The sequence below is a fragment of the Homo sapiens genome, chromosome 19 (genome assembly GCF_000001405.40).
Source record: "Homo sapiens chromosome 19, GRCh38.p14 Primary Assembly".
Classification (NCBI taxonomy): domain Eukaryota; kingdom Metazoa; phylum Chordata; class Mammalia; order Primates; family Hominidae; genus Homo; species Homo sapiens.
The window spans coordinates 3,654,455-3,676,084 of NC_000019.10; the positions used below are offsets into that span (position 1 = coordinate 3,654,455).

The window sequence follows — 21,630 nt, forward strand, 5'->3', positions numbered from 1 at the left end:
CTGGGCCGAATCCGGCCACCACCTATTTTTGTAGGGCTGTGAGCTAAGAATGGTTTTTCCATTTTTAAAAAGTGGAAAGGGCCCAGTGCGATGGCTCATGCCTGTAATCCTAGCACTGTGGGAGGCCGAGGCGGGCGGATCACCTGAGGTCAGGAGTTTGAGACCAGCCTGGCCAACATGGTGAAACCCCGTCTCTATTAAAAATAAAAATTAGCTGGGAGTGGTGGCGCATGCCTGTAATCCCAGCTGCTTGGGAGGCTGAGGCAGGAGAATCACTTGAACCTAGGAGATGGAGGTTGCAGTGAGCCGAGATTGTGCCATTGCATTCCAGCCTGGGCAACAGAGCCAGACTCCATCTCAAAAGAAAAAAAAAAAAAAAGGCCAAGCACAGTGGCTCACATCTATAATCCTAGCACTTTGGGAGGCCAAGGCAGGCAGATCATGAAGTCAGGAGACCAGCTTGACCAACACGGTGAAACCCCATCTCTACTAAAAATACAAAAATTAGCCAGGCGTGGTGGTAGGTGCCTGGAATCACAACTACTCAGGAGGCTGAGGCAGCAGAATCGCTTGAACCCAGGAGGCGGAGCTTGCAGTAAGCCAAGATCACGCCAATGCACTCCAGCCTGGGTGACAGAGCGAGACTCCATCTCAAAAAAAAAAAAAAAAAAAAAAATGAAGAGGCCAGGCGCGGTGGCTCACGCCTATAATTCCAACACTCCAGGAGGCCGAGACAGGCAGATCACGACATCAGGAAATCGAGACCATCCTGGCTAACACGGTGAAACCATGTCTCTACTAAAAATATAAAAAAATAGCCAGGCGTGGTGGCGGGCGCCTGTAGTCCCAGCTACTCGGGAGGCTGAGGCAGGAGAATGGCTTGAACCCAGGAGGGGGAGGCTGCAGTGAGCCAAGATGGCACCACTGCACTCCAGCCTGGGTGACAGAGCGAGACTCCGTCTCAAAACATAAATAAATAAATAAAAAAGTGGAGAAATAGAAAATAGTCTTTGATGACACGTGAAAGTGATATGGAATTCGCATTTCTTGGTCCATAAATAATGCGTATGGGCACATGGCCGCGCCCATCCATTCTCATGTGGTCACAGCAGCTCGCTGCCATCCAGGCAGAGCTCAGTCCTGGAGACACAGCACACTGGCTCGCAGAGCCAAAAACACTCTCTCTGGGCCTTTAAAGACTGAGTTTGCTGAGCCTGATCTAAGGAGCCCGGGCCCCTCGCTAAGCATCACAGAGAGTGGATGGAGGAGGCCTCAAGGGAAACTGAGTCACAGGCTGTGCTGTGCTGCCCAGGGCCGGGCAGCAGCTTGGGCCTGGCAACATGGAAGGCGCCCACCTCGTCTGGGCGAGTACCGGAATCCCAGGCCCAGGAACACTGTGGCAGCCGCCGGCTCCTACTCCTACTCCCCCCTCCCGGGGCCTGACGCACCCTTTCTGTGAGTCATGCGGGATGAGGGGTGGGCCGGATGGAGCTGCCTCACGCCTGCCTGAGCAGCTGGTCTTTTGTGGGGTACCATCTGGTGGCCCATCCCCCTCCTCTCTGGAACCCTCTGAGTCACCCTTGGGCCCCTTGGGCCTCCGTGGCAGCTGACAGACGCTGCCCGCAGGCTGCTGGTTCTGGGGCCCACGGCTCATAGGGGGTGTTGGCAAGGTGGGGATGGGGAGCCAGGCAGGGGCCGGTGCCCACCCAGCCCTGCCCGGGGACGGCCCCCAAGGCGTGTGGCCACAGGAGGAAGAGAGGGCGGCTCCTGAACACTGGTGCTGGTGAAGCCTGACGGGGGACCCCCGAGGGTGAGTCCCCGGGACCCAAGATGCCTCTCACCACGCCCCAAGGATGCCTGCTTGCCCAAGCCTTGCAGACATCTGCTCCCGCCAGCCGGGAGAAGGGGGTTGACCGAGGAGCCATCTGCCCCGCAGGGCGGGCCACGCACCATGTAGTAGCCAGGGAGCAGCTTCTGCAGGAACTCGGCCTCCTTGTGCATGACGGTCTTGATGATGAACTCGTCGTCGCTGGTGACGTAGAAGAGGGAGCCACTGGCGCCCGGGTTGGACAGCTCGATCAGCGGCTCATTGCACAGGGAGTACTGGAAGCAGAGGAGGCGGGTCAGCGGGCCCCAAGCTGCCGGACACACAGACAGCACTGGCTTCCGGTCTGCCCAACAGCCCCAGGAACTGATGACGGGTCGCTGCATTTTACAGATGCGGAAAGAGAGGCTCAGAGAGGGCGAGAGACTTGCCTGAGGCTAGCCAGCAAGGACTGGAGCCTGAGGCCGAGCTGACTCTGCAGCCCGAGGGCTGGTCTGCTAGGGCGCACTCCCCAGGCTGCCTGCTGCTCTCCTTAGGAGCGGACACCTGATCGCACCGGGGTGCTGACGCGCGTGGCTAAAAGGTGCTCCCAGCACCCCTGAAGCTGGGTGGGGCCACAACGCCAGCTCTGCCCCATGAGTCATAAGCAGAAGCTGTCAGGTGGAACTCAGGGAAGGCTCCACAGATGGGCGACAGGCAGCTGGCATACCTGCGTATTTGCCCTTCTCTCCTTCCCACCTATTTCCCTCCTGAGATGCTGATGTGATGGCTGGAACCTCAGCAGCCACACTGGACTAGAAGGTAAGCTCTGGGATGGAAGCTGCATCTCTGATGGGCAGGCCCCACTCTGGCCCCTGGCACCCCACAGTCCAAGCCCTTCCTCCCCACTTCTCTGCCCCTTTTTCTCAGCCCCTGCTGTTTGTTTCATGATGTGCTCGCTGTCTCTCTGCCCCCACGCCCTCTCCTGGACATTAGGCAGAAGGTCCGTGCAGGTGGAAGTTTTTTTGTGTCACTGACTCGACAGGTGCTCGATTTGCTAAGGACTAGAATGAAGATGAGACCCACGGGTGCTACCCTGCGTCTTCCGGGTATGGAACCAATGAAGTGTGCATGGGGCTAAGGCCATCTGTGTCACGCCCTTTAAAATCCTAACTGGTCGCCATTGGTGTACACGGATGAGGTCAGAGCCAGCTCCCCATCAGCGGAGCAAGCCAGGCCCCCCAGGGTCAACGCTGGGTCCGTATCTGCTGGACGACAGAAGGGTGGTCTCCGAGTGCTGCGTGCCGCCTCCAATGCTGCTGTGATAAACAGGTGGGGGGTGTCCACGAGAGTCAGGAGTGGTGGCGAGCAGAAGCGAGGGGAGGCCAGGCACGGCGGCTCACCCAGCACTCTGTAATCCCAACACCTTGGGAGGCTGAGGAGGATCATTTGAGCCCAGGAGTTCAAGACCAGCCTGGGCAACAGAGCGAGGCCTCATCTGTACTAAAAAAAAAAAAGAAAGAAAACAAAAACAGGCATGGTGATGCCCATCTGTGGTCCCAGCTACTTGGGAGGCTGAGGTGGGAGGATCACTTGAGCCCAGGAGGTCAAGGCTGCTGTGAGCTGTGACAGCGCCACTGCCCTCCAACCTGGGCAACAGAGCAAGAGTGTTTAAAAAAACACCCCAACAAGTGAGGGGAACCACCTTTGGAAAATGCTGGAAGAGCCAGGGGCTTGAGGCGTGAGTTGGGTCCCCAGCGCCACACACACTCTGATCTGTGAATATGTTTGGGGACCAGAGGACGCCGGAAACATGAGGTCACATCAGGCCCAGGGCCTGGGAATGCCCCAGTCCCTCCTTGGGCTCAAGTCACCACCCCCGCCCTGCACTGCCCGAGGTGCTCTCGGGCCAGGGAACGGCGCCATCAGTTATCACACGTCGGTCAACACAGGCTGGATTTTGCGGAGTCAGCAACAGCCCTGCCAACCTTGGCAGCTCAGAACAGCGAGGGTCCTTCCTCCTGCATGCGCTGCTTCTGCCATGGCCTGGCTGGGAGTGATGGTGCAGGGTGAGAGAGCCGTGTGGGGTGGACTCTGAGGCTGGAGGGAGATCTGTCCAGGCCACTGCTGTCGCCCAGCCCAGCCATCTGCCTGCCTTTTTCTGCCCACAGCCACGAGCCACAAATATCCACAGGAAACACAGAGCCCACGCGGCTCCTCCGCCTTCCCCGCCACGGCAGGACGCCCTCCAGCCTCCCAGACACAGGCGCAGCAGCGCAGAGCGAAGGCGGGTCTCTCCTGGGGCTGGCGCCCTCCCTGGGAGGCCAGGGGACCCCGCCAAGCCCTGGGCCGCTGTCCTCAGGTCACCCGGAGCAGGGGACACCCCAAGCAGCCGGAGTGTCCCTCCGAGACACAAATCACTGCTGCCTGTCCACGGTGGCAGGAGGGGGAGGCCGATCTCACCTGCAGAGCGGAAAACACTGTGGAAAGGGCACGTTCGGCTTTGTACAAAGAACACCGATGACAGGGAAATTCTGAAGCCACATGACTAATGGCAGTTGCAGGGCTATGGCCTCCATGGGCCTCAGCTGCTACGGGGAAGCAGGCCCCATGCGTGGATTTCTGAGCCAGGCAGTGCCAGGACAACCCCCCACAGCCTCCTTCGTCGGTGCTGGGGCTCTCGGCAGCTGCGCCGCTGACCTTGGCCTCCTCTCCACCCTCTGCTGACCACTGGGCAGGGCTGAGCCCCACCCTGCATCCCACCTCCGCCTTCTCCTTCCTGGCTGTCCTGAGCTGTGGGCCTTCCTGGAGCTACCCCCCTTACCAGGGGGGACTGTGACCTCAGCTGTCCAATCAGAGAAGCACCGGCAACCTCGAGTCCCCTCCGAACCCTACCTGTCCCCACTCAAGCTCAGGGGCCCTGTGGACAGCAACACGCACACTAGCCCGTCCTCCCGCTGTGGCACACGGCCACACTCACACCACAGCCTGGACAGAGGCTAGGGGGCTGCCGCCTGCTCAGCACCGGAGGCCCCCAAGAGAATTCTCACACTCCTGAGATGAGCAGAAGGATTCGGGGGTCACCAACACCGGGCTGGCTCCCCAGATGCTGTGGGTGCACACCTGGCCTAAGGCCCTGGAATGCGATCTTATCGGGTTCTAGGTGAGACCCAGATGGCCCCAGATCGGCTTTTATCCGTCCACTCCTGCTAATGGACACGGGTGCTGTCTCTCTGCTACGAGCCAGGCTGCTGCCTTCTGTTCCTGGCCGCCTCACACGGTAGCGTCCAGGTCACCCGAGGGCCATTTCTAGGCAAAAACCCCAGCTGTGTTTTCACTCCCCACTGCCCTGCCAAGCTCAGGCAAACGCTGGGACACTGAAGTCCGGAGGCTGGGCCTTGGCGACACGACCCGGAGCATGGTGACTCCCGGGCACCTGAACAGGCTGGAGTTCTCGGGGCGGGGGAGGGGGGGGTGTCACACGTACCCCTGGCTGGAGCACATGCTAGTTCTCCCTGGAAGAGCGCAGCCTCGGGCGCTTCCTACAGACTGAGATAAACCAAACGCACGCACAGTCAGCAACCACCAAAGAAAGGCACAAGGAACCGACCACCGCGGGTGAGGGCAGGATCGGAGAACCACAGGCTCCCGGCCCCGGGGACCGTGCTGTCGTGACAACCAGAACGCCAACCGCACTTGTCTACAGAGTTCCAGTCTTCCCTGATACAAAGTTCTCGGGATGACCAGGCAGGCTTGGGAAAAGGCCACCCGGAGCTTTTAGAAGTGGTGATGGCGCAGGTTGGATGCCGGGGCTCACGCCTGGAATCCCAGCACTTCGGGAGGCTGAGGCGGTAGCTCACGCCTCTAATCCCAGCACTACGGGAGGCTGAGACAGGCAGATCACGAGGTCAGGAGATCGAGACCATCCTGGCTGACACGGTGAAACCCCGTCTCTACTAAAAATACAAAAAATTAGCCGGGCGTGGTGGCAGGCACCTGTAGTCCCAGCTACTCGGGAAGCTGAGGCAGGAGAATGGCGTGAACCCAGGAGGCGGAGCTTACAGTGAGCCGAGATCGCACCACTGCACTCCAGCCTGGGCGACAGAGCGAGACTCTGTCTCGAAAAAAAAAAAAGGGGGTGCTGGCGCTGATGAGCTCCAGGGCCACTGTGGGGAGCACCACCCTCCAAACACCTCTTTTAGGAGCCCGGATAATGGGCTGCTAGGTCAAAGGGGTTGGCCTAGATTTTGACTTTGCTAACCTGAAACAATAAAGCCATGGCTAGAGCTAGGAGGTCCGACTCTACGCTGGTCCCCAGTGGCACCCACGTCCCAGTGCCTTGTTCTAACCCTTAAGTCTGAAAATGGGTCAGTCACTTTGGCACCAGGCTGCAGAAGACTATACCAACTGTTTGGTGAGTGGACACCCTCGCCTGCTCTGATGACAAGGCCCACATGGTGAGGAATGGAGGCTCCCAGCCAACGCCAGCCAGGACGGAGTCCTGCAGCTGCCAGTGATGTGAGCTTGGAGGCCGATCTCTCCTGCTTTCCCGGTGAGTCTCACAGGAGACTCCGGCCCTGAACCTGACCATAACCCTACACGAGGAACCCAGGGAGGCTGCCCCCAAATGCCTGACCCACAGACCCTCCGAGACCCTGAACATGTTCTGTTTCAAGCCTGGAAGCCCGTAACAGCAAATATGCTTACCAAGTAATCATCTGGCCGGATCCCAAAGAGCTCCCGGAAGTAGCGGAAGGCGACAGGTGCATAGGTCTTGAAGCGGAAGTCCTGGAAGTGGTGGGCGGGGGTGAGGTTGCTGCCTTCGCTGTGGAGGAAGGACGGGAGGAAACCTGTGAGGGGTGGTGGGCACCTCTCCCCCACCCCCGCCATGGTCCCTCCTAGTGCCTCTAGCAGCTGAGCCTCTAGCGGCTCAGCTCCAAGACTTCCTTGAAACGGCCCAATCCCACAAGCAACAGGGGGCTCCCGATGGGACTGTCCCCCAGTAACCACCCTCTCTTCTTTCATTAACAACGGGGCCCACAGTGTTGGCCAGGCACATGGCCGCCAAGAACAGGACCATGCCGCCCCAGCCTCTTGCAGCTAGGTGTGCTCACGTGACTGCACTCAGCCAATGACACGAGTGGAGCAGAAACACTGGTCATGTCCGAAAGGGAAGGGCTGTTGTTCTCCTTCTGTTGCCTCCTGTGGCTGGAATGCAGCCGTGATGGCAGGAGCTTTGGCAGCCACCTGGGACCACTGGTCACAGAGCTGTATATTGAGGATGGCGGTGTGGGGTGACCAGAAGGATCCCAGGACCCCAACACCATGGAACCTCCTGACCAGCCCTGCACTGCCCACTGGTTATTTGTAGATTAGAAAAGAGCTAACTTCTATCTTTTCTTTTTCCTGTTCTTAAACTGCCTTTACATTGGGTCTCTGATTCAGCAGCAAACAAACGTCCTGACGGACAGAGGGCCAGAGCTCAAGGCCAAGGAGGCGCCAGGAGGGGCCAGGTGCTGCTTTCAGCAGAGAAGGGCGCTCAGGACAGGCCACTCCGCCTCAGAGCCACGTGTGTGCTGGGTGAGCCCTGAGGCTCCGGGGGCCCGGCCCACCTGGGGAAGAAGATGCTCTCCACCACGTAGAAGTCCTGCATGAGCACGTCGCGTTCGGGCTTGGAGCTCAGGTGGCCCACGGTGTAGCCGATGCCCAGCTGGATGGCACCCTTCAGGGTGGAGGAGGTGGTCTGCAGGGAGACCAGAGTGTCAGGGCCCCCGGCTGCTCCCCACGCTGCCCTGCACCCCCTGTGTGCACCGGGGGGTGGAGATCGTGACCAGCTGCAGCTTGGGACCCGGCACCTGCCAACCCCCTCCTGGTGGTCCCCGGGGCTGCCTGTCCTGCGGCTGCTGAGCTGTCGACATCAGGCCGGGGGATGAAGCCACCCTCCCTCGGGCCACACAGCCAGGACAGGGCTCGGCTGCAACTGCCGCACCACGTCACTCAGCCCTCCCAGTCCTGTTGGCTAGCTAGGTTCTAAAGGTTCTCCCATTTTGAAACAGCTCCAACTTAGCAAAAGGGTCGATTCACTGTCAAGAGTTTGTTTTTAGGGGGTACCATTTACAGCGAGATGCCCAGATCACTTTCACATCTGCAGACGCAGGTTCCCGTTAGCTGCTTTCTATGTAACGCACGTGGTCACACTGGGCAACCCACATGGCCGCTATGTGCCTCAGTTTCCCTGCCTGTAGACAGGGATGGGCACAATGGTTCTGGCCCTCTTGCGGACGTGGTGTCAGCTGCTGTTATTATTTTTATTTGTTTATTTTTTGAGACAGAGTCTTGCTCTGTCGCCCAGGCTGGAGTGCAGTGGCGCAATCTCAGCTCACTGCAACCTCCACCTCCCAGGTTCAAGTGATTCTCCTGCCTCAGCTTCCTGAGTAGCTGGGATTATAGGTGCGCGCCGTCACGCCTGGCTAATTTTTGTATTTTTAGTAGAGACGGGGTTTCACCATGTTGGCCAGGCTGGTCTCGAACTCCTGACCTCAGCTAATCCACCTGCCTGGGCCTCCCAAAATGCTGCGATTGCACGTGTGAGCCAGCACGCCGGCCCCGTTATTATTTTTTGAGACAGAGTCTTGCTCTACTGCCCAGGCTGGAATGCAGTGGTGCGATCTTGGATCACTGCAACCTCCGCCTCCTGGGTTCAAGCTATTCTCCCGCCTCAGCCTCCCAAGAGCTGGGATTACAGGCACGCACCAGCACACCCGGCTAATTATTTTTTTGTATTTTTAGTACAGACAAGGTTGCGCCATGTTGCCCAGGCTGGTCTCCAACTCCTGACCTCTGGTGATCCTCCCGCCTCGGCCTCCCAAAGTGCTAGGATTCCAGGAGTGAGCCTCCGCGCCCGGCCGGCTGCTGTTATTTTTGCCATTGGCATCGTTTGCATTATTCTCACTGTGTGCTCTCGCGCCATGTTCACTTTAGCCCTGGGAAGCCGGCTCATACCTCCGCTCTCTAATTCCGGTCTCCAGTGCTCCTGTCGCAGGTGCGAGGTGGCAGGGAGGGAGGTCGGGAGTTGGGAGTTGGTTTCTGCCACTGCCCAGTTTCGGCCTGTCTCCCTCCTAAGCCACACTCTGGGTGGTGGGGGGTCTGGCCTGTATGTTCACCTCCCCGAGATGCCACGGACAGAACAGACATGTGCCCAAAGATAACATACAAACGGCCCTGAAGCCCGCAAAGACGCTCCATGCCACTGGGCACCAAGGGAAAGCACATCAAACCACAGGGGGGCCACGCACCTGGAATCCCGGCCAGTCGGGAGGCCGGGGTGGGAGGATCCCCTGAGCCTGGGAGTTCAAGACCAGCCTGGGCAACATGGTGAAACCCCTGTCTCTACCAAAACAAACAAAAAGACACCTCGAAGAGACACCACCTCACACCCATGAGGACGCCAGAATCAGAGACAACAATCACGAGTGCTGGTGAGGACACGGGGACGCTGGGCCTCATTCACTGTTGCTGGGTGTGAAAACGGTACCGCTGCTATGGAGAACAGTTTGCGAGTTTCTCAAAAGATGACACCGAGTTACACGTGACTTGGCAATTCCACTCCTGGGTGTCTGCCCGAGACAAACGAACACATGTATCCACACAGACTCACACACACGTGTCCTCAGCAGCACAATTCACAATGGCCAGGAGTGTGAAGCACCCGAGCGTCCATGACGCAGCAAAGGACAAGTGCAGCACGGGCGCCCCACGCACCAGAACACGACTCAGCCATGAACAGGAGCAAGGCTCTGACACGGGCCCCAGTGCGAATGAACCCTGAGGACGCTACACTCAGTGAGAGACGCCAGACACAGAAAGCCACACAGTGTGTGATTCCACTTCTATGACACGTCCAGGACAGGCTGATCCACAGACGCAGGAAAGGGATGTGGGTGCCAGGGCTGGGAGTCGGGATGGGGGTGACTGCTAACAGGGACAGAGTTGCTATTTGAGCTGATGCAATGTTCTGGAATTAGAGGTGACGGCTGCACAACTCTGCATATGTACTAAAAGTCATTTACTGCACACTTTAAAGGCTGAATTGTACAGTATATGAATCACATCTCAGTAAAACGGTTACTTTTGAAAAAACAGGCCCTAGGTGGGGGTGGGAACAGAGTGGGGGTCAGGCTTCCTACCAACACGGTGTGAGCCAGGCCAGCCTCAGAGTGTCCCATCCACTGCCCGAGGTGGTGGTGGGGTCCATAACCCCTCTCCCTCACCAGGGCCGAGAGCCCAGGCTCTGCCCGAGGTTTCAGGGACTCAGAGCCGGGCAGGCGTTGCAGCCAGGCTGAGCCACAGAACATGCTGCCCGGCCGCCCGGCAAGGACAGCAAACAGTGGGGCCTCATGCAGGACTGAGGACTCCAGCCTCTGCCTCCACACAGCCCACACCTGTCCCTGGGCAGACCCTGGTTTGTGTCGGGGGCGATAGGCCCCATCCATGCTACCAGTGGGATCCCCCTCCCCTCTGCTCTGTCCCGCTCCCTCCAGCCAGCTAAGGGGAGCCGAGGAACCTTCTTGTAGGTGGTTTCGCCGGATGCGTCCACACCTCGATGGCCCAACTTCTTCCCATGGCCAGGGCCCGGCTGTGCCGTCATGGACAGAACCTGGGAAGAGGAAGCAGGAAGCGTTAACTCCCTAAGGAGCACGCCCACCGGGACAGGGCACGCTCTGAAACCCTGGGAAGAAAGGTTTAGTCGTTGGGCCCAGCAGGGGTGCACAGGGCAGGGGGCAGGTCCAGGCGACTCCGGGGTGCAGCAGGAGGCCCCTCACCCGTGGGCGCCTGGCGGGCTGGCTGGGGCCCCTCAGTGTCCCACACTGGACACCCAGAAGCGCTCACTCCAAGGTGGAGACCTCTGCCTCCTCAGGAAGGGCAAGAGGATTGGGCAGCTCCAGCCCTCTAATTCCAGGGTCTCCCCCAGGTGCTGTGGACACTGGGGCTGGACCGTTCTTTGGGGTGGGGCCACCCTGGGCACAGCAGGGTGCTGAGCAGCATTCCTGGCCTCCACCCACTCCATGCCAGGAGCACCTCCCAGTTGTGGCAACCACAGATGTCCCCACACAACTCTGCAAATGTACTAAAAGTCACTCACTGCACACTTCAGAGAGTACAGTATGCAAATCACATCTCAGTAAAGTGGGTATTTTTTAAAAAAACAGGACTGAGGTGGGGGTGGGAACAGAGCGGGGGTCAGGCTTCCTGCCAACACGGTGTGAGCCAGGCCAGCCTCAGAGCATCTCACCCACCGCCTGAGGTGGTGGTGGGAGTCGTAACTCCTCTCCCTCACCAGGGCCCCTAACTGTGAGACCGCTGGGATGGAAGGATTGAAAAGACCACCTTGTCCCTGAGGGAGATGGTCTCACTGGCCAGGGTCAGGCCCGGCTCCTGCAAGCTGTCGGGCAGCGCGGGTGTCCCAGCAGATGGGACCGCCGACCCCAGGGGGCCTCAGCTTGTTGCCCTCGAGGGAGGATGTGAGGAGGGGCCTTGGGAGCCTGAAGGGACACAGAGGCCAACCAAGGAGAACAGCCCCGCCTGGCACCGTCATTTAAGGAGCGCCACTGCGTTTGCTAGGAGACCCCATGGACCCTCCACTGGCCAGACCCCATCCCACCGCTATCAGCCCCAGGGACACGCCTGCAGCCCTGACCCCTGCCCCTGCCCTCCCTCCACAGCCGACGCTGCTCAGCCATGTTCCCTGCATTCTCCCAGGTGGCCGCCAGGGGGCAGGCTCTCCCCAGGAATTCACCCCGCCACCCGGGCCACCCTCCACCCGCGCCACCCTCCACACTGCCCCCACGCCGGGGGACTCTGAGGAAGGATCCCAGGGTCCCAGGCCTGGTGGACAAAGCCCTCCAAGCTCTGGCTACGGACGCAGGGCCAAGGGTGGCCCAGGTGGGACAGGTGCCTTGGGGACTGCTCCTGTGAATGGGGCTCATGGACAGGTGCCCTGAGGACTGCATGCGGGAAGACGGGAGATGCAGCAGCTCGGGTGCCCTCAGAGGACGGCCCACCCCACTGCGCCCACTGGGGCTGGGAAGAAGGCCACTCGGCGCCACGGGGCTGGCAGAAGCTGCAAAGGCAGGGCCAACGTGCAGAGAAAGCTCTCGGGAGGAGACGGGCAGCAATGACAGGACCCATGTACATGCAGATGTGCACACACACAGACAAATATGCACACAGGCAAACACACGTGCAGACGTGCACACAGGCAAACGTGTACATACGCACGCAGGCAAACAGGCACACAGGCAAACACACATGCACTCAGGCAAACATGAACACAGGCAAACACGTGCACACACGCACGTAGGCAAATGAACACAGGCAAACACGTGCACACATGCACGCAAACATGCACACACACAAACGTGCACACACACAGGCAAACATCCACACAAGCAAAAATAGATGCACACACGCACGCAGGCAAACATGCACACACACAAACGTGCACACACGCACGCAGGCAAACATGCACACACACAAACGTGCACACACGCACGCAGGCAAACATGCACACATAGGCTGCACACAGCCTCACTGTGCACTACGCCTGTGTGGCTCACAGACACTGAGGGCGTGGGTGCAGCTGGTAGCCTCGGGCATCGCCCTCTGGGCAGCGTCTAACCCTCCAGCCAGGTCTTCCATTCCTGCCCCCAGTCCCCCGGCGAGAGCTGCTCTCTCCCCACCGCCCACCCCCCAGAATCCAGGCTCCACGTGGCCTGGAACCCAGAGAAGCCCTTCCTGCCCCTGCAGCCCTGACCAGGCACCCCTGCCACTGAGGGTGTGGCCCCTCAGATGCAGGGCCCCCTCCTCCATCACGGAATTTCACCCCGACCTCTCAAGACGCAGTTGGTGTAGACCTCACGTTCATCCTGCTTGTGGACACTGGACGGCATTTGGGGCCCAGAGAGGTGTAGTGAGCTGCCCCAGGCCACACAGCTTCTCCGCGAGTAGGGAGGCAGCAGGTCAGGGTGGGGACCCCAGGCCCTTCGTCCGCTCCAGACACTCACCTCTGTTGGGGCCGCCTTCTTCTGAGCCAAACCTGCAGAAGAGACAAGCTGGGTATCAGACAGGAAACCGGTGACCTCTGGGAGTCCTGGGCCCAGCCCCCGGCCCACCTTCTGGCGCCCCAGGCCTGGCGTGTGTAACTCCGCGTGGGGCTGGTCTCAAGGCTACACACAAGTGAAGACATGGACTGAGTGCGCTGGGAGGATGTGATGAGGGTGGGGGCCACTGGGGCCTGCCATGGTCACCCTGGTTGGCAGCCACTGGGGCCTAGAGCAGGGGAGAGGCTTTGCAGCCTCAGGGAGATGGGCAGCTGGTGACGCCTAGGCTTGGCACCCACCACGGAGGGCCTGGGGCTTGGACCTGCCTGGAGGAGGGGAGGGGAAATAGGGAGCAAACCTCCCCCGGCTCTGACCCCCTTCACACCCAGACATGAGGTTCTGGGCAGTCAACAACTGAGCAGGTCTGAACTGACCAAGCCCCGCTTCCTCGGAGGCAGGCGCCAGGAGAGGCTCGGGCATGGGGAAATCAGGTGCCAGCGTGGGGAGTGAGGGGGGGCAGGCCCCCGCTGGGGCGAGGGCAGGCTGGAGTTGCAGGGAGCGCCCAGCACCTGGGCAGCTGCGGTCAGTGGGAACTGGCCAGGGGTCCCCAGGGCTGCCGCCCTCCCTGCCCCTCTCCAGAGTGAGGTTTGTGGAAGGGTAAGAGAGGCTGCGAGGGGACCCCCAGCCCTGCCCTGGCTCCTGGGCCCGCAGCCTCCGGTCAGCGCAGCAGGGCCTGGGCCGCAGCTCCAGAGAGGACAACAGAGGCCTGCAGGATTGAGCCAACGAGCCCAGGCCTGGGCTGAGCCGGGAGCACCTTCCTCCATGCAAGGAGGCTGGGACGAGGGGAGCAGGCGAGACTCAGCTCCTAGGACCCAGGACCACATCCCCAGCCCTGGCTCCCAGCAGCAGGGCCCTGGGGTCCTCATCTGGAGAACGGGAACAGACTCTACAGCTGTGATTACAGGCCCTGAGACCGACGGGAGATGATCCTGGGGGACCTGGGAGCCCGATGTCCTCACAGGGTCCTCACGAGCGGGGGCGAGAGGGTGAGTCAGACAGAGACTGGAAGAGGCTGCGCTGTGGCTGTGAAGAGGGAGGAAGGGACCTGAGCCGACAGATGCGGGCGCCTCTAGATGCTGGGAAAAGGGGGAAACGGATTCTCCTCTGCAGCTTGTGCTGGGCCCAGCCCTGCCCACAGCTTGACTTTAGCCTGGTGAGGCCCCGTTCTGGGGCTGGACTCCTGGCCTCGGAGCCCTGAGGTGGGAAGCGATGTCAGCGACTGCAGGGATCGCACGTGCTGGCGTCCACCATGCAGGCCTGGGGAAGACCTGGTCTCGCCCTCAAGGGGCTCACGGTCAACAGGGGTGGGCGCAGGGCTGGGTGTTTGATGTGGGGTGACAGGCGGGGTGCGGATCAGCAAGGGGGGGCTTCCCTGGGCTGGTCCTGTCTGAGCTCAGTGCCGAACAAGGATGCCGTGGGAGCCGGAGGGAGTTCCAGGCGGAGGGAACGGCAGCACAAAGGTCACAAGGTGGCTGAGGCAGCCACGCTGCACGGATAACAGCAGCGTCCTCCAGGCTCATGCAGAGGCGGGTACCGAAGGGGAGTGCCTCCCTGTTGGATTCCGATGCTGGCACCACCCAGGGCCCAGGGGCATGGAGACAAATGCTTCTTTTCAATCACAGGGGCTGTGGGTCAGGGCTGACTCCACCCCAGCTCTGCCAGCATCTTCTCACTCCATTCCCCCTTCCTAGAGGAAGAGGCTGAGGGTTGGGGAAGGGAGGGCTGGCTGAGGTCTGGCAGCTGGGGGTGCTGGGGCAGGCCCTCAAAGGGGATTATTATGAGCCCGTGGAGACACTCAGGCTGCGCCGGAGTGTGTGCAGGAGGGTGCGGCAGGTGCCCTGCTCCGTAGGGCTCGGCCCTCTGGCTGCCTCCCTGCTCTGGGCTGGGCAGCAGTGCGTTGGAACTGGTCTGGCCCTGGCTTCCAGGCCGGCTGAGGTGAGCAGGGGAGGCCAGGACATGTGAGGGGCCAACTGGGCGAGGTTCAGGGAGGTGCAGACAGGTGAGGAGGTGGGTGCGGAGTCCGCGGTGCAGACGGGGGCCGTCAGGGGTGGGGACCCGGCTGGGTGTGGACTCGGGAGAGGGGACAGAGGAGAATTTCCCCGAGAGACAAAAAGTCTTTCTGGACCAAGGCCTTACAAAGCCAGCAAAGAGTGCAGAGAAGGCGGGAGCCCTTCTGTTTTATGACGCGGAAAGAGATGCTCAGAGGGAGGGGTGAACCCACCCGAGGTCACACAGAAGGAGAAGGAAAGTCAAACCTGGGCCTGGGTCGGCGATGCCCCACCCTATCAGCCCTGCCAGCGCCCCTCGGCCCCCATGGGCACTGTGCTGCTCTCGGTGGGTGCACGGGAGACCCACGTGTGTCCCATCCAGAGGCTGCACCCCGGTGACCGCCCTGCCGTCTGAAAACACGTCCACCGCGGGCACTGAAGGCAACTGAATGCGACTTGGTGGAGCAGCCCATAGCTTTGCTCTGCTGCCGGGTCAGAACTGCCGGAGACAAGACGAAGGCACGAGGTGGAAAACTTTGCTGGGGTCAGGAGCCTCGGGGCAGGGGCAGGCCGGGGAGGGGCCTGGGGTCAGGAGCCTCGGGGCAGGCAGCAGGTATGGAGGGGGCTGGGGCCAGAAGCCTCTGCAGGCGGCAGGTGGGGAGGGGACTGCGGTCAGGAACCTGGGGCAGGCGGCAGGTGGGGAGGGGGCTGGGGTCAGGAGCCTCTGCAGGCGGCAGGTGGGGAGGGGGCCGCATTCGAGACGCTGGTGGGCCCCTGCAGTCGTGGTCAGTCCCCACGCCTGCCTGAGGGTGCGGGGTTGGACGGTGTCCCTCCGACATTCACGTCCTTCCAAGAACCTCAGCCTGCAACCGTATTTGGAAAGAGAGTCTTTGCTGATGTCATTGGGTAAGATGAGGTCATGCCGGAGTGGGGTGGGCCCTGGATCCACCGCTGTCCTTATAAGAGAAGCCGCTCAGGGAGGCCAAGATGCCGTGTGGGGTGGAGGCGGGGAGGGCACCACTCCTCCAGGCCCTGAAACGCCAAGGATGCCCGGAGGCACCAGGAGCAGAGGGGTGTGGAGCTTCTCCGAGGTCGGTCGGGAGGGCAGAGCCCTGCCCACTCCTGGACCTCAGGCTCCTGGCCTCCAGAGCTGAGCCAGAACAAACGCCTGTTCAAGGCCTGCTGCTCCAAGCCCCCCAGTCCCGGGGACTTTGTCTGGGCAGCCCAGGACCTCACACGGAGCCCTCCAGTGAGGACCCCAGCCCTGGGTGGGAGGGGGCGTACTTCTCAAGGCAGCAAGAACAGCTGAAGGGTCCTCCCCTCGGGCCACCTGGATGCCCTGCAGGGCTGGGTGGGCAGCGGGTGGGCCCTGGAGGGATCTGGGGGACAGACCCATGGTGCTCACTGCAGGGGCGGGGACGGGGACGGAGGGAGTGGGGTGACTCAGGATTCCGGCTGCCACGGTGAAGGGAAAGACGGGCTGCTTCTCTGTCCTTCCAGAGGACAGGGCCAGTCGCCCCCAGGTCTCTGACAGGCCACAAAGGGCCTGCTCTGGGCCGCGGCGGGGCGGAAGGTGCTGGACGCTGACGTGATGTTTGGGTTGGCGGCCCGGGAGCAGAACAATTCACGGTTTTACGTCCAGGGTGTGGGGGAAGGAAAAGAAGAGAGGGCAGGAAGCCAGCGGTGGGCCGGGGCGGGACGTTCCAGACCTCATCGGGGGCCCGGGCGTCCCCCTGCTCGGCCTGTCTGGGGCCTCCCTGCCCACAGTCCTGACTCTACTCGCGAAACCACCCCTCTGGGGCCCCCCCACACCCACTTGGGTGACTCAGCTGTTTTCCTCAGTGGCCCCGATGCTGAGAGGTCACAGCGCTTGGGTCCACCCCTGCCCGGACTCTCCCAGGCTCCCTACGGCCCCGGGACCCAGTGGATGCAGTGAGGCCCTCCAGACCCAGCTCTGCTGACCTCACCAGGCACCTCGGGGTCACCCGTGTTGGGTGTAGGCCCCCTGCCTCAGTTTCCCTCTGTGGTTCCACGTCTTCACCTGCCCGACTCACCTGAGCTGGCTAACGGGGAGAGGAGAGGAGAGGGGCAGGCGGCTCGGGCCCTGCTGGGAACGTCCCTGCACTGGGGGCCTGTAGGGTTAAGGGACTGGCCGGGGCCGAAGCACTGAGGTGGAGGTGGAGCAGGACGGAGAGGGGAGGCACTCGGTTGGGGGACCCCAGGGAAAATGTGGGGCTCCCAGGGCAGGCAGGAACGGGCAGCAAGGGGAGACCAGAGCCGAGTGTCCTGTGGAGGAGAGGGGACGGGGAGAAAGCACAGCCTTGCTGCCACCGCCTGCCCAGGGGGTGGGGGCAGGTGAGCGCCATCTTCACTCAATCCTCGCTCCCCATGAGGCCCGCTCAGGGCACAGAGCCTGCCGTGACCCCCATAGGGGGCTGTCATGACGGTGAGCTCTGCTCAGCCTGAGACGTGACTAATTATCTGCTGAATGAGCCACCCCGTTTTCGAGGAAATTAGGTTTTAAAAATAGTCGGGGGAGGAAAGGCGAGCCGCGCTGCGGAGCCGGGAGGTGGCCCCTCTGAGCAGTTTCCGCTGGCCAGGCCCGAGGCGGGGGCTCTGCCGCTGGGGCCCCTCTCTCCTGGCCCCATCACAGGACGTGGTGGCGACCCGGGCCTGCGGTGCACGGCTCTGATCGCTGGCTGCACGGTGACCTCATCGGCCACCCCACCTCCCTGTGTGCCCAGGGCTTCTCTCTGAGCCTCAGTCTCTCTCTATAAAGTGCGGCTGAAGCCAGCTCGAGCCCTAGAGGCACTGCCATTCTCCACGGGGCCACATGGCCGCCTCTGCACCCAGCTGTTCCCTGGCCTGCGCCTGGTCTCCGCCCTGGCCCTGCCAGTGCTCCCTGGACACTGTGTCCCACACCAGCCACCTTTGCCACCCCACTGACACCGCCCCATCCTGCAGACCAGCCTGGTCCCTCCTGCTGAGCCTGGGGGCTCCCTCAGGACGGGGCCTGCCCTGGGCTGACAGCATGGGCGTGTTTGTTGACTGACCCATGGACTGACAGATACCCGTTCCTCTTTTCTCTGCACAACAGGCCTCCGCCAGAGCTTCCTCTCCACATCTGTCTGACATGGACACTGAGGCAGGGAATGACTAAACTGGGGGAGGAGGCAGATTGTCAGGCTGGCTCTGCAGTGAGACCCAAAGTAAGAATGGGGACGGAGAGGTCTGGACAGGTGGCCAGAGGGAGGGAGGCATCACAGTGAGAGGAAACAGGGCACATTCTGGGCTCACCGACAGGGCGCCGTGGGGCAGAGGGCCCAGCGAGGCAAGCTCGAGGGTGGGTGGAAGGTGCCTCAGCCCCTGTGGGCACCTGCAGGGCACTGTGACAGCAGGCAGGACAGGAACAGTGGTGGCCTCATCCCTGTAGAACCAAGGTCCAGACCCCCATGGCTGGGAGGAGAAAGCCCCAGCCCTGGAGGCGGTGGGGGCGGGGGGAGAGTGGGCAGGGCCCTGGAAGGCCCAGGATGATGAAGCTGGGGACTGGGGGGCTGGGGACTGGGGGGCCGGGGAGAGCCCACGGCAGGGGAGGGATTCTGCGAAAGGGGGCCCACCCACCCCGCCCCCACCGCAGACAAGGGTCTCCCCAGGCCTCACTGCAACCCTGCAGGGTGAAGACCAGGCCCTGTCACCCCACCAGACCCTGTGTGGCCCCCTCCCTGCCCTCTGCTCCTCCCTCTGCTCCAGCCACACGGGCCCTCGCTGTCCCTCCAGCACGCCAGCGCCACCCTGTGTCATGGCCTTTGCACGAGCGGTGCCTCTGCCTGGCCTGCCAGTCCCAAGATTCCCTCACGGTTTGTTCCTGTTTCACCCCAGACCTGGCTTGAACATCACCCCTCAGAGGCCTCCTCCAGCCAACCTGCACCAAACGATCCCCTCCTCACTGCCCGGCACACGGCACCACCTGATACATGGCTGTTGTCATCCCCACAACAGGGGTCCCAGGCCTGCTCTGTCACCTGCTCACAGACTCTGGCAAAGCTCTGAGGGCAGCAAGGGAAGGCCAGTGAGAAAGGGGCGGCAGTGGGACCCAGGTGTGTCAGAGTAGCACAGGGGGCCTGCACCCCTGGGTGGGGCCGCTGCCCAGAGGGCAACTGCTGGGCACCCCAGGACAGGTGCAGGCTCGCCGTGACACAGCAACCCGGGTGTGTGAGGACGGCCCAGGCACGGGGTCCTGCGATCCCACAAGCAGGAAGCAACCCCGGGCCAGAGCTCACGGTCACCTCCCTCATTCGCTGGAACAACCCATCCTCTGGCCTCCCGCCGTGCAGGCCTCCGACCATGGGGACCACAGGCCCCTCTGAGGACCTGCCAGGACGGCCAGGCTGGGCAGCGGCACTCCACGACACAGGCTGGGGTGGGGACCCGGAGGCGGCAGGGCCGACCCTCAGCTCTGGTGAGGCTCAGACCAGGACCCGGCGGACAAGGGTAGGCCGTGCAAGAATCTTCTCCTGCTAAACTGCAGAAAGGCCTTCTGTGGCTGTCCACAGATGGCTGCGACGCTTGGCAGTAGTGTGACTTGCTCTGACCAACAGAATGTGATGCAAGGGATGGTGTGGGCGTGAGGAAGGCTGGCACTTCTCACTGTGCCTCTGGGAACCTGGGCCACGACACTCAGAGGCCAGCTCCCTGCAAAAAGACCGGGCGGCCCCAGCTGTTCCTGCCATCCTGGCTGAGGGTTGGACAGGCAAGTGTAGGACGAGCTTGAATTTCCTGCCACTGCCGACCACAGCCATGGAACTAACCCCAGGTATGACCTACAGAAGAACCACCCAACTGAACCCAACCCAAATAACAGAATCGCAAGCAAATACACAGTTGTTTGAAGCTTCTGTCTGGGGGTGGTTTGTTATACAATAGCTGACTGAAACAGATCTCGGCTCACTACAACCTCTGCCTCTTGGGTTTAAGTGATTCTCCTGTCTCAGCCTCCCCCGAGTAGCTGCAGATCTTGGCTCACTACAGCCTCCGCCACTCGGGTTCAAGCGATTCTCCTGCCTCAGCCTCCCCCGAGTAGCTGCAGATCTCGGCTCACTACAGCCTCCGCCTCCCGGGTTCAAGCGATTCTCCTGCCTCAGCCTCCCCCGAGTAGCTGCAGATCTCGGCTCACTACAGCCTCCGCCTCCCGGGTTCAAGCGATTCTCCTGCCTCAGCCTCCCCCGAGTAGCTGGGACTACAGGCACGCACCACCATGCCCAGCTTTTTTGTATTTTTAGTAGAGATGGGGTTTCACCGTGTTACCCAGGATGGTCTCAATCTCTTGACCTCGTGATCTGCCCGCCTTGGCCTCCCAGCGTGCTGCGATGACAGACATGAGCCACCGTGCCCGGCCTATCTGTGGACTTCTTTGGAACAGGAGGAGTTACAGTTTTTAATTCCTTTGTCTTACTTGGACTTCTTACATTCAAAGAAGCATTAATAATCTGTACATGGATTATTCAGCCATGAAAAGGAGTGAGGCTCTGACGCAGGCCACAGCACGGATGCACCTTGAAGACGTCACACTCAGTGAGAGATACCAGACACAAGAGGCCATGCAGTGTGTGACCCCATTTCTATGAAATGTCCAGGACAGGCTGATCCAGAGAGACAGGGAGGGGATGCATGGGTGCTGGGGCTGGGGAGGGATGGAGAGTGACAGCCGCCAGGCGCAGGGTTTGCTTTCGGGGTGATGGAAATGTACTAGAATTAGTGGCAGTGACTGAACAACTCTGTGAATACGCCGAGAAGAATTTACTCAGTTGCAATAAGTAAGCAGTAAGACACTTTCAAAGAGTGAATTTTGTGTCCCAGAAAAGCAAAATGAAGATGCAGATCCCTTTAGTTGCAAAAGCATTGCCCAGTGACATACACCATCTGGAACCTTCTCCAAACTCGGTCATCCCCCAGGGCCTCAGTTTGCTTGTCTCTAAAGGAGGTTGGGGGACTTGGTCAAGGCTTGACCAGAAGGGCAGCCAGTCTGCTGCAGGCTGGAGCTTCTCACACTGTCTGTGCTGTAGAACTGAGTTCAACCTTTCTTTTCTCTCCATCATGGACCAAGGCTTTTGTGAAACGCAGTAAACAGCAACTACCGAGGTCTGAAAGGCTGGTGCCGACCCTCAGCTTCTGCTCCTCTCTGGTATGGACCGGGATGGACAGTCTCGTCCATGGTGACATCAAACGGCCCTGCCTCAGGCCTCTTCTCTCTTGATATGAGTGTACCCACATGCAAACGGCTTGGGGGCCTCCAGGCACCCCCCAAAGCCCATGCAAACCAGGATCTCCCCCCTCAGCACTTAGGGCTGGATTGTTCTCTGGGCTGGTCACTGGGGCCGTCCTGGGCACTGCAGGGTGCCGAGCAGCATCCCTGGCCTCCACCCACTCCATGCCAGGGGCACCCCCCAGCTGTAACAACCACAGATGTCTCCAGACATGGCCCCGTGTCCCCAGGGGGGCAGGATGACCCCAGGTGATGCCCCGCTTCAGTAGCCCCTGAGGTTAAACCCTTGGGTGAGATGTTCAACACGGCTGCAACAGCAAATATCTGCACCAGGTGCCGACCAAGCTCTCCCCACACAGGATCCCACCCAGCCTGACCAGGCAGCCACTCCTCACGGCTTCATTTGACACATGGGGA

The 21,630-nt window shown here is 61.0% G+C and overlaps 1 protein-coding gene across 10 annotated transcripts in view, besides 8 other annotated features; it reads right to left on the minus strand.

Annotated features, from left to right (window-relative positions):
* PIP5K1C (phosphatidylinositol-4-phosphate 5-kinase type 1 gamma) overlaps positions 1 to 21,630 on the minus strand; it is a 70,286-nt gene that overhangs the window by 24,272 nt on the left and 24,384 nt on the right. For 9 of the 10 annotated variants that reach the window (XM_047438535.1, XM_017026540.3, NM_001195733.2 and 6 more), the window contains exons 2-6: positions 12,868 to 12,899; positions 10,368 to 10,460; positions 7,417 to 7,547; positions 6,512 to 6,629; positions 1,951 to 2,103 (exon numbers count right to left, since the gene is read on the minus strand). In XM_047438535.1, the coding sequence (XP_047294491.1) occupies positions 1,951 to 2,103; positions 6,512 to 6,629; positions 7,417 to 7,547; positions 10,368 to 10,460; positions 12,868 to 12,899 (527 nt within the window). Of the gene's footprint in view, positions 1 to 1,950; positions 2,104 to 6,511; positions 6,630 to 7,416; positions 7,548 to 10,367; positions 10,461 to 12,867; positions 12,900 to 12,975; positions 13,119 to 21,630 lie in introns of those variants that run through there. The other variant, XM_047438536.1, reaches the window with a different exon arrangement.
* Positions 1,653 to 1,762: a silencer, noted in NCBI's record as "silent region_9856". NCBI's record gives its function as "represses an Ori minimal core promoter by ATAC-STARR-seq in GM12878 lymphoblastoid cells {active_cell/tissue: GM12878}" and the evidence as "EXISTENCE:reporter gene assay evidence [ECO:0000049][PMID:35858748]".
* Positions 1,783 to 1,832: a silencer, noted in NCBI's record as "silent region_9857". NCBI's record gives its function as "represses an Ori minimal core promoter by ATAC-STARR-seq in GM12878 lymphoblastoid cells {active_cell/tissue: GM12878}" and the evidence as "EXISTENCE:reporter gene assay evidence [ECO:0000049][PMID:35858748]".
* Positions 10,813 to 11,643: an enhancer, noted in NCBI's record as "H3K4me1 hESC enhancer chr19:3665265-3666095 (GRCh37/hg19 assembly coordinates)". NCBI's record gives its function as "activates a minimal SCP1, AML or CMV promoter by ChIP-STARR-seq in primed H9 embryonic stem cells {active_cell/tissue: H9 hESC(primed)}" and the evidence as "EXISTENCE:reporter gene assay evidence [ECO:0000049][PMID:30033119]".
* Positions 10,813 to 11,682: a biological region, named in NCBI's record as "H3K4me1 hESC enhancer GRCh37_chr19:3665265-3666095".
* Positions 11,573 to 11,682: a silencer, noted in NCBI's record as "silent region_9858". NCBI's record gives its function as "represses an Ori minimal core promoter by ATAC-STARR-seq in GM12878 lymphoblastoid cells {active_cell/tissue: GM12878}" and the evidence as "EXISTENCE:reporter gene assay evidence [ECO:0000049][PMID:35858748]".
* Positions 17,701 to 18,376: an enhancer, noted in NCBI's record as "H3K27ac-H3K4me1 hESC enhancer chr19:3672153-3672828 (GRCh37/hg19 assembly coordinates)". NCBI's record gives its function as "activates a minimal SCP1, AML or CMV promoter by ChIP-STARR-seq in naive H9 embryonic stem cells {active_cell/tissue: H9 hESC(naive)}" and the evidence as "EXISTENCE:reporter gene assay evidence [ECO:0000049][PMID:30033119]".
* Positions 19,313 to 20,106: an enhancer, noted in NCBI's record as "H3K4me1 hESC enhancer chr19:3673765-3674558 (GRCh37/hg19 assembly coordinates)". NCBI's record gives its function as "activates a minimal SCP1, AML or CMV promoter by ChIP-STARR-seq in naive H9 embryonic stem cells {active_cell/tissue: H9 hESC(naive)}" and the evidence as "EXISTENCE:reporter gene assay evidence [ECO:0000049][PMID:30033119]".
* Positions 20,937 to 21,438: an enhancer, noted in NCBI's record as "H3K4me1 hESC enhancer chr19:3675389-3675890 (GRCh37/hg19 assembly coordinates)". NCBI's record gives its function as "activates a minimal SCP1, AML or CMV promoter by ChIP-STARR-seq in primed H9 embryonic stem cells {active_cell/tissue: H9 hESC(primed)}" and the evidence as "EXISTENCE:reporter gene assay evidence [ECO:0000049][PMID:30033119]".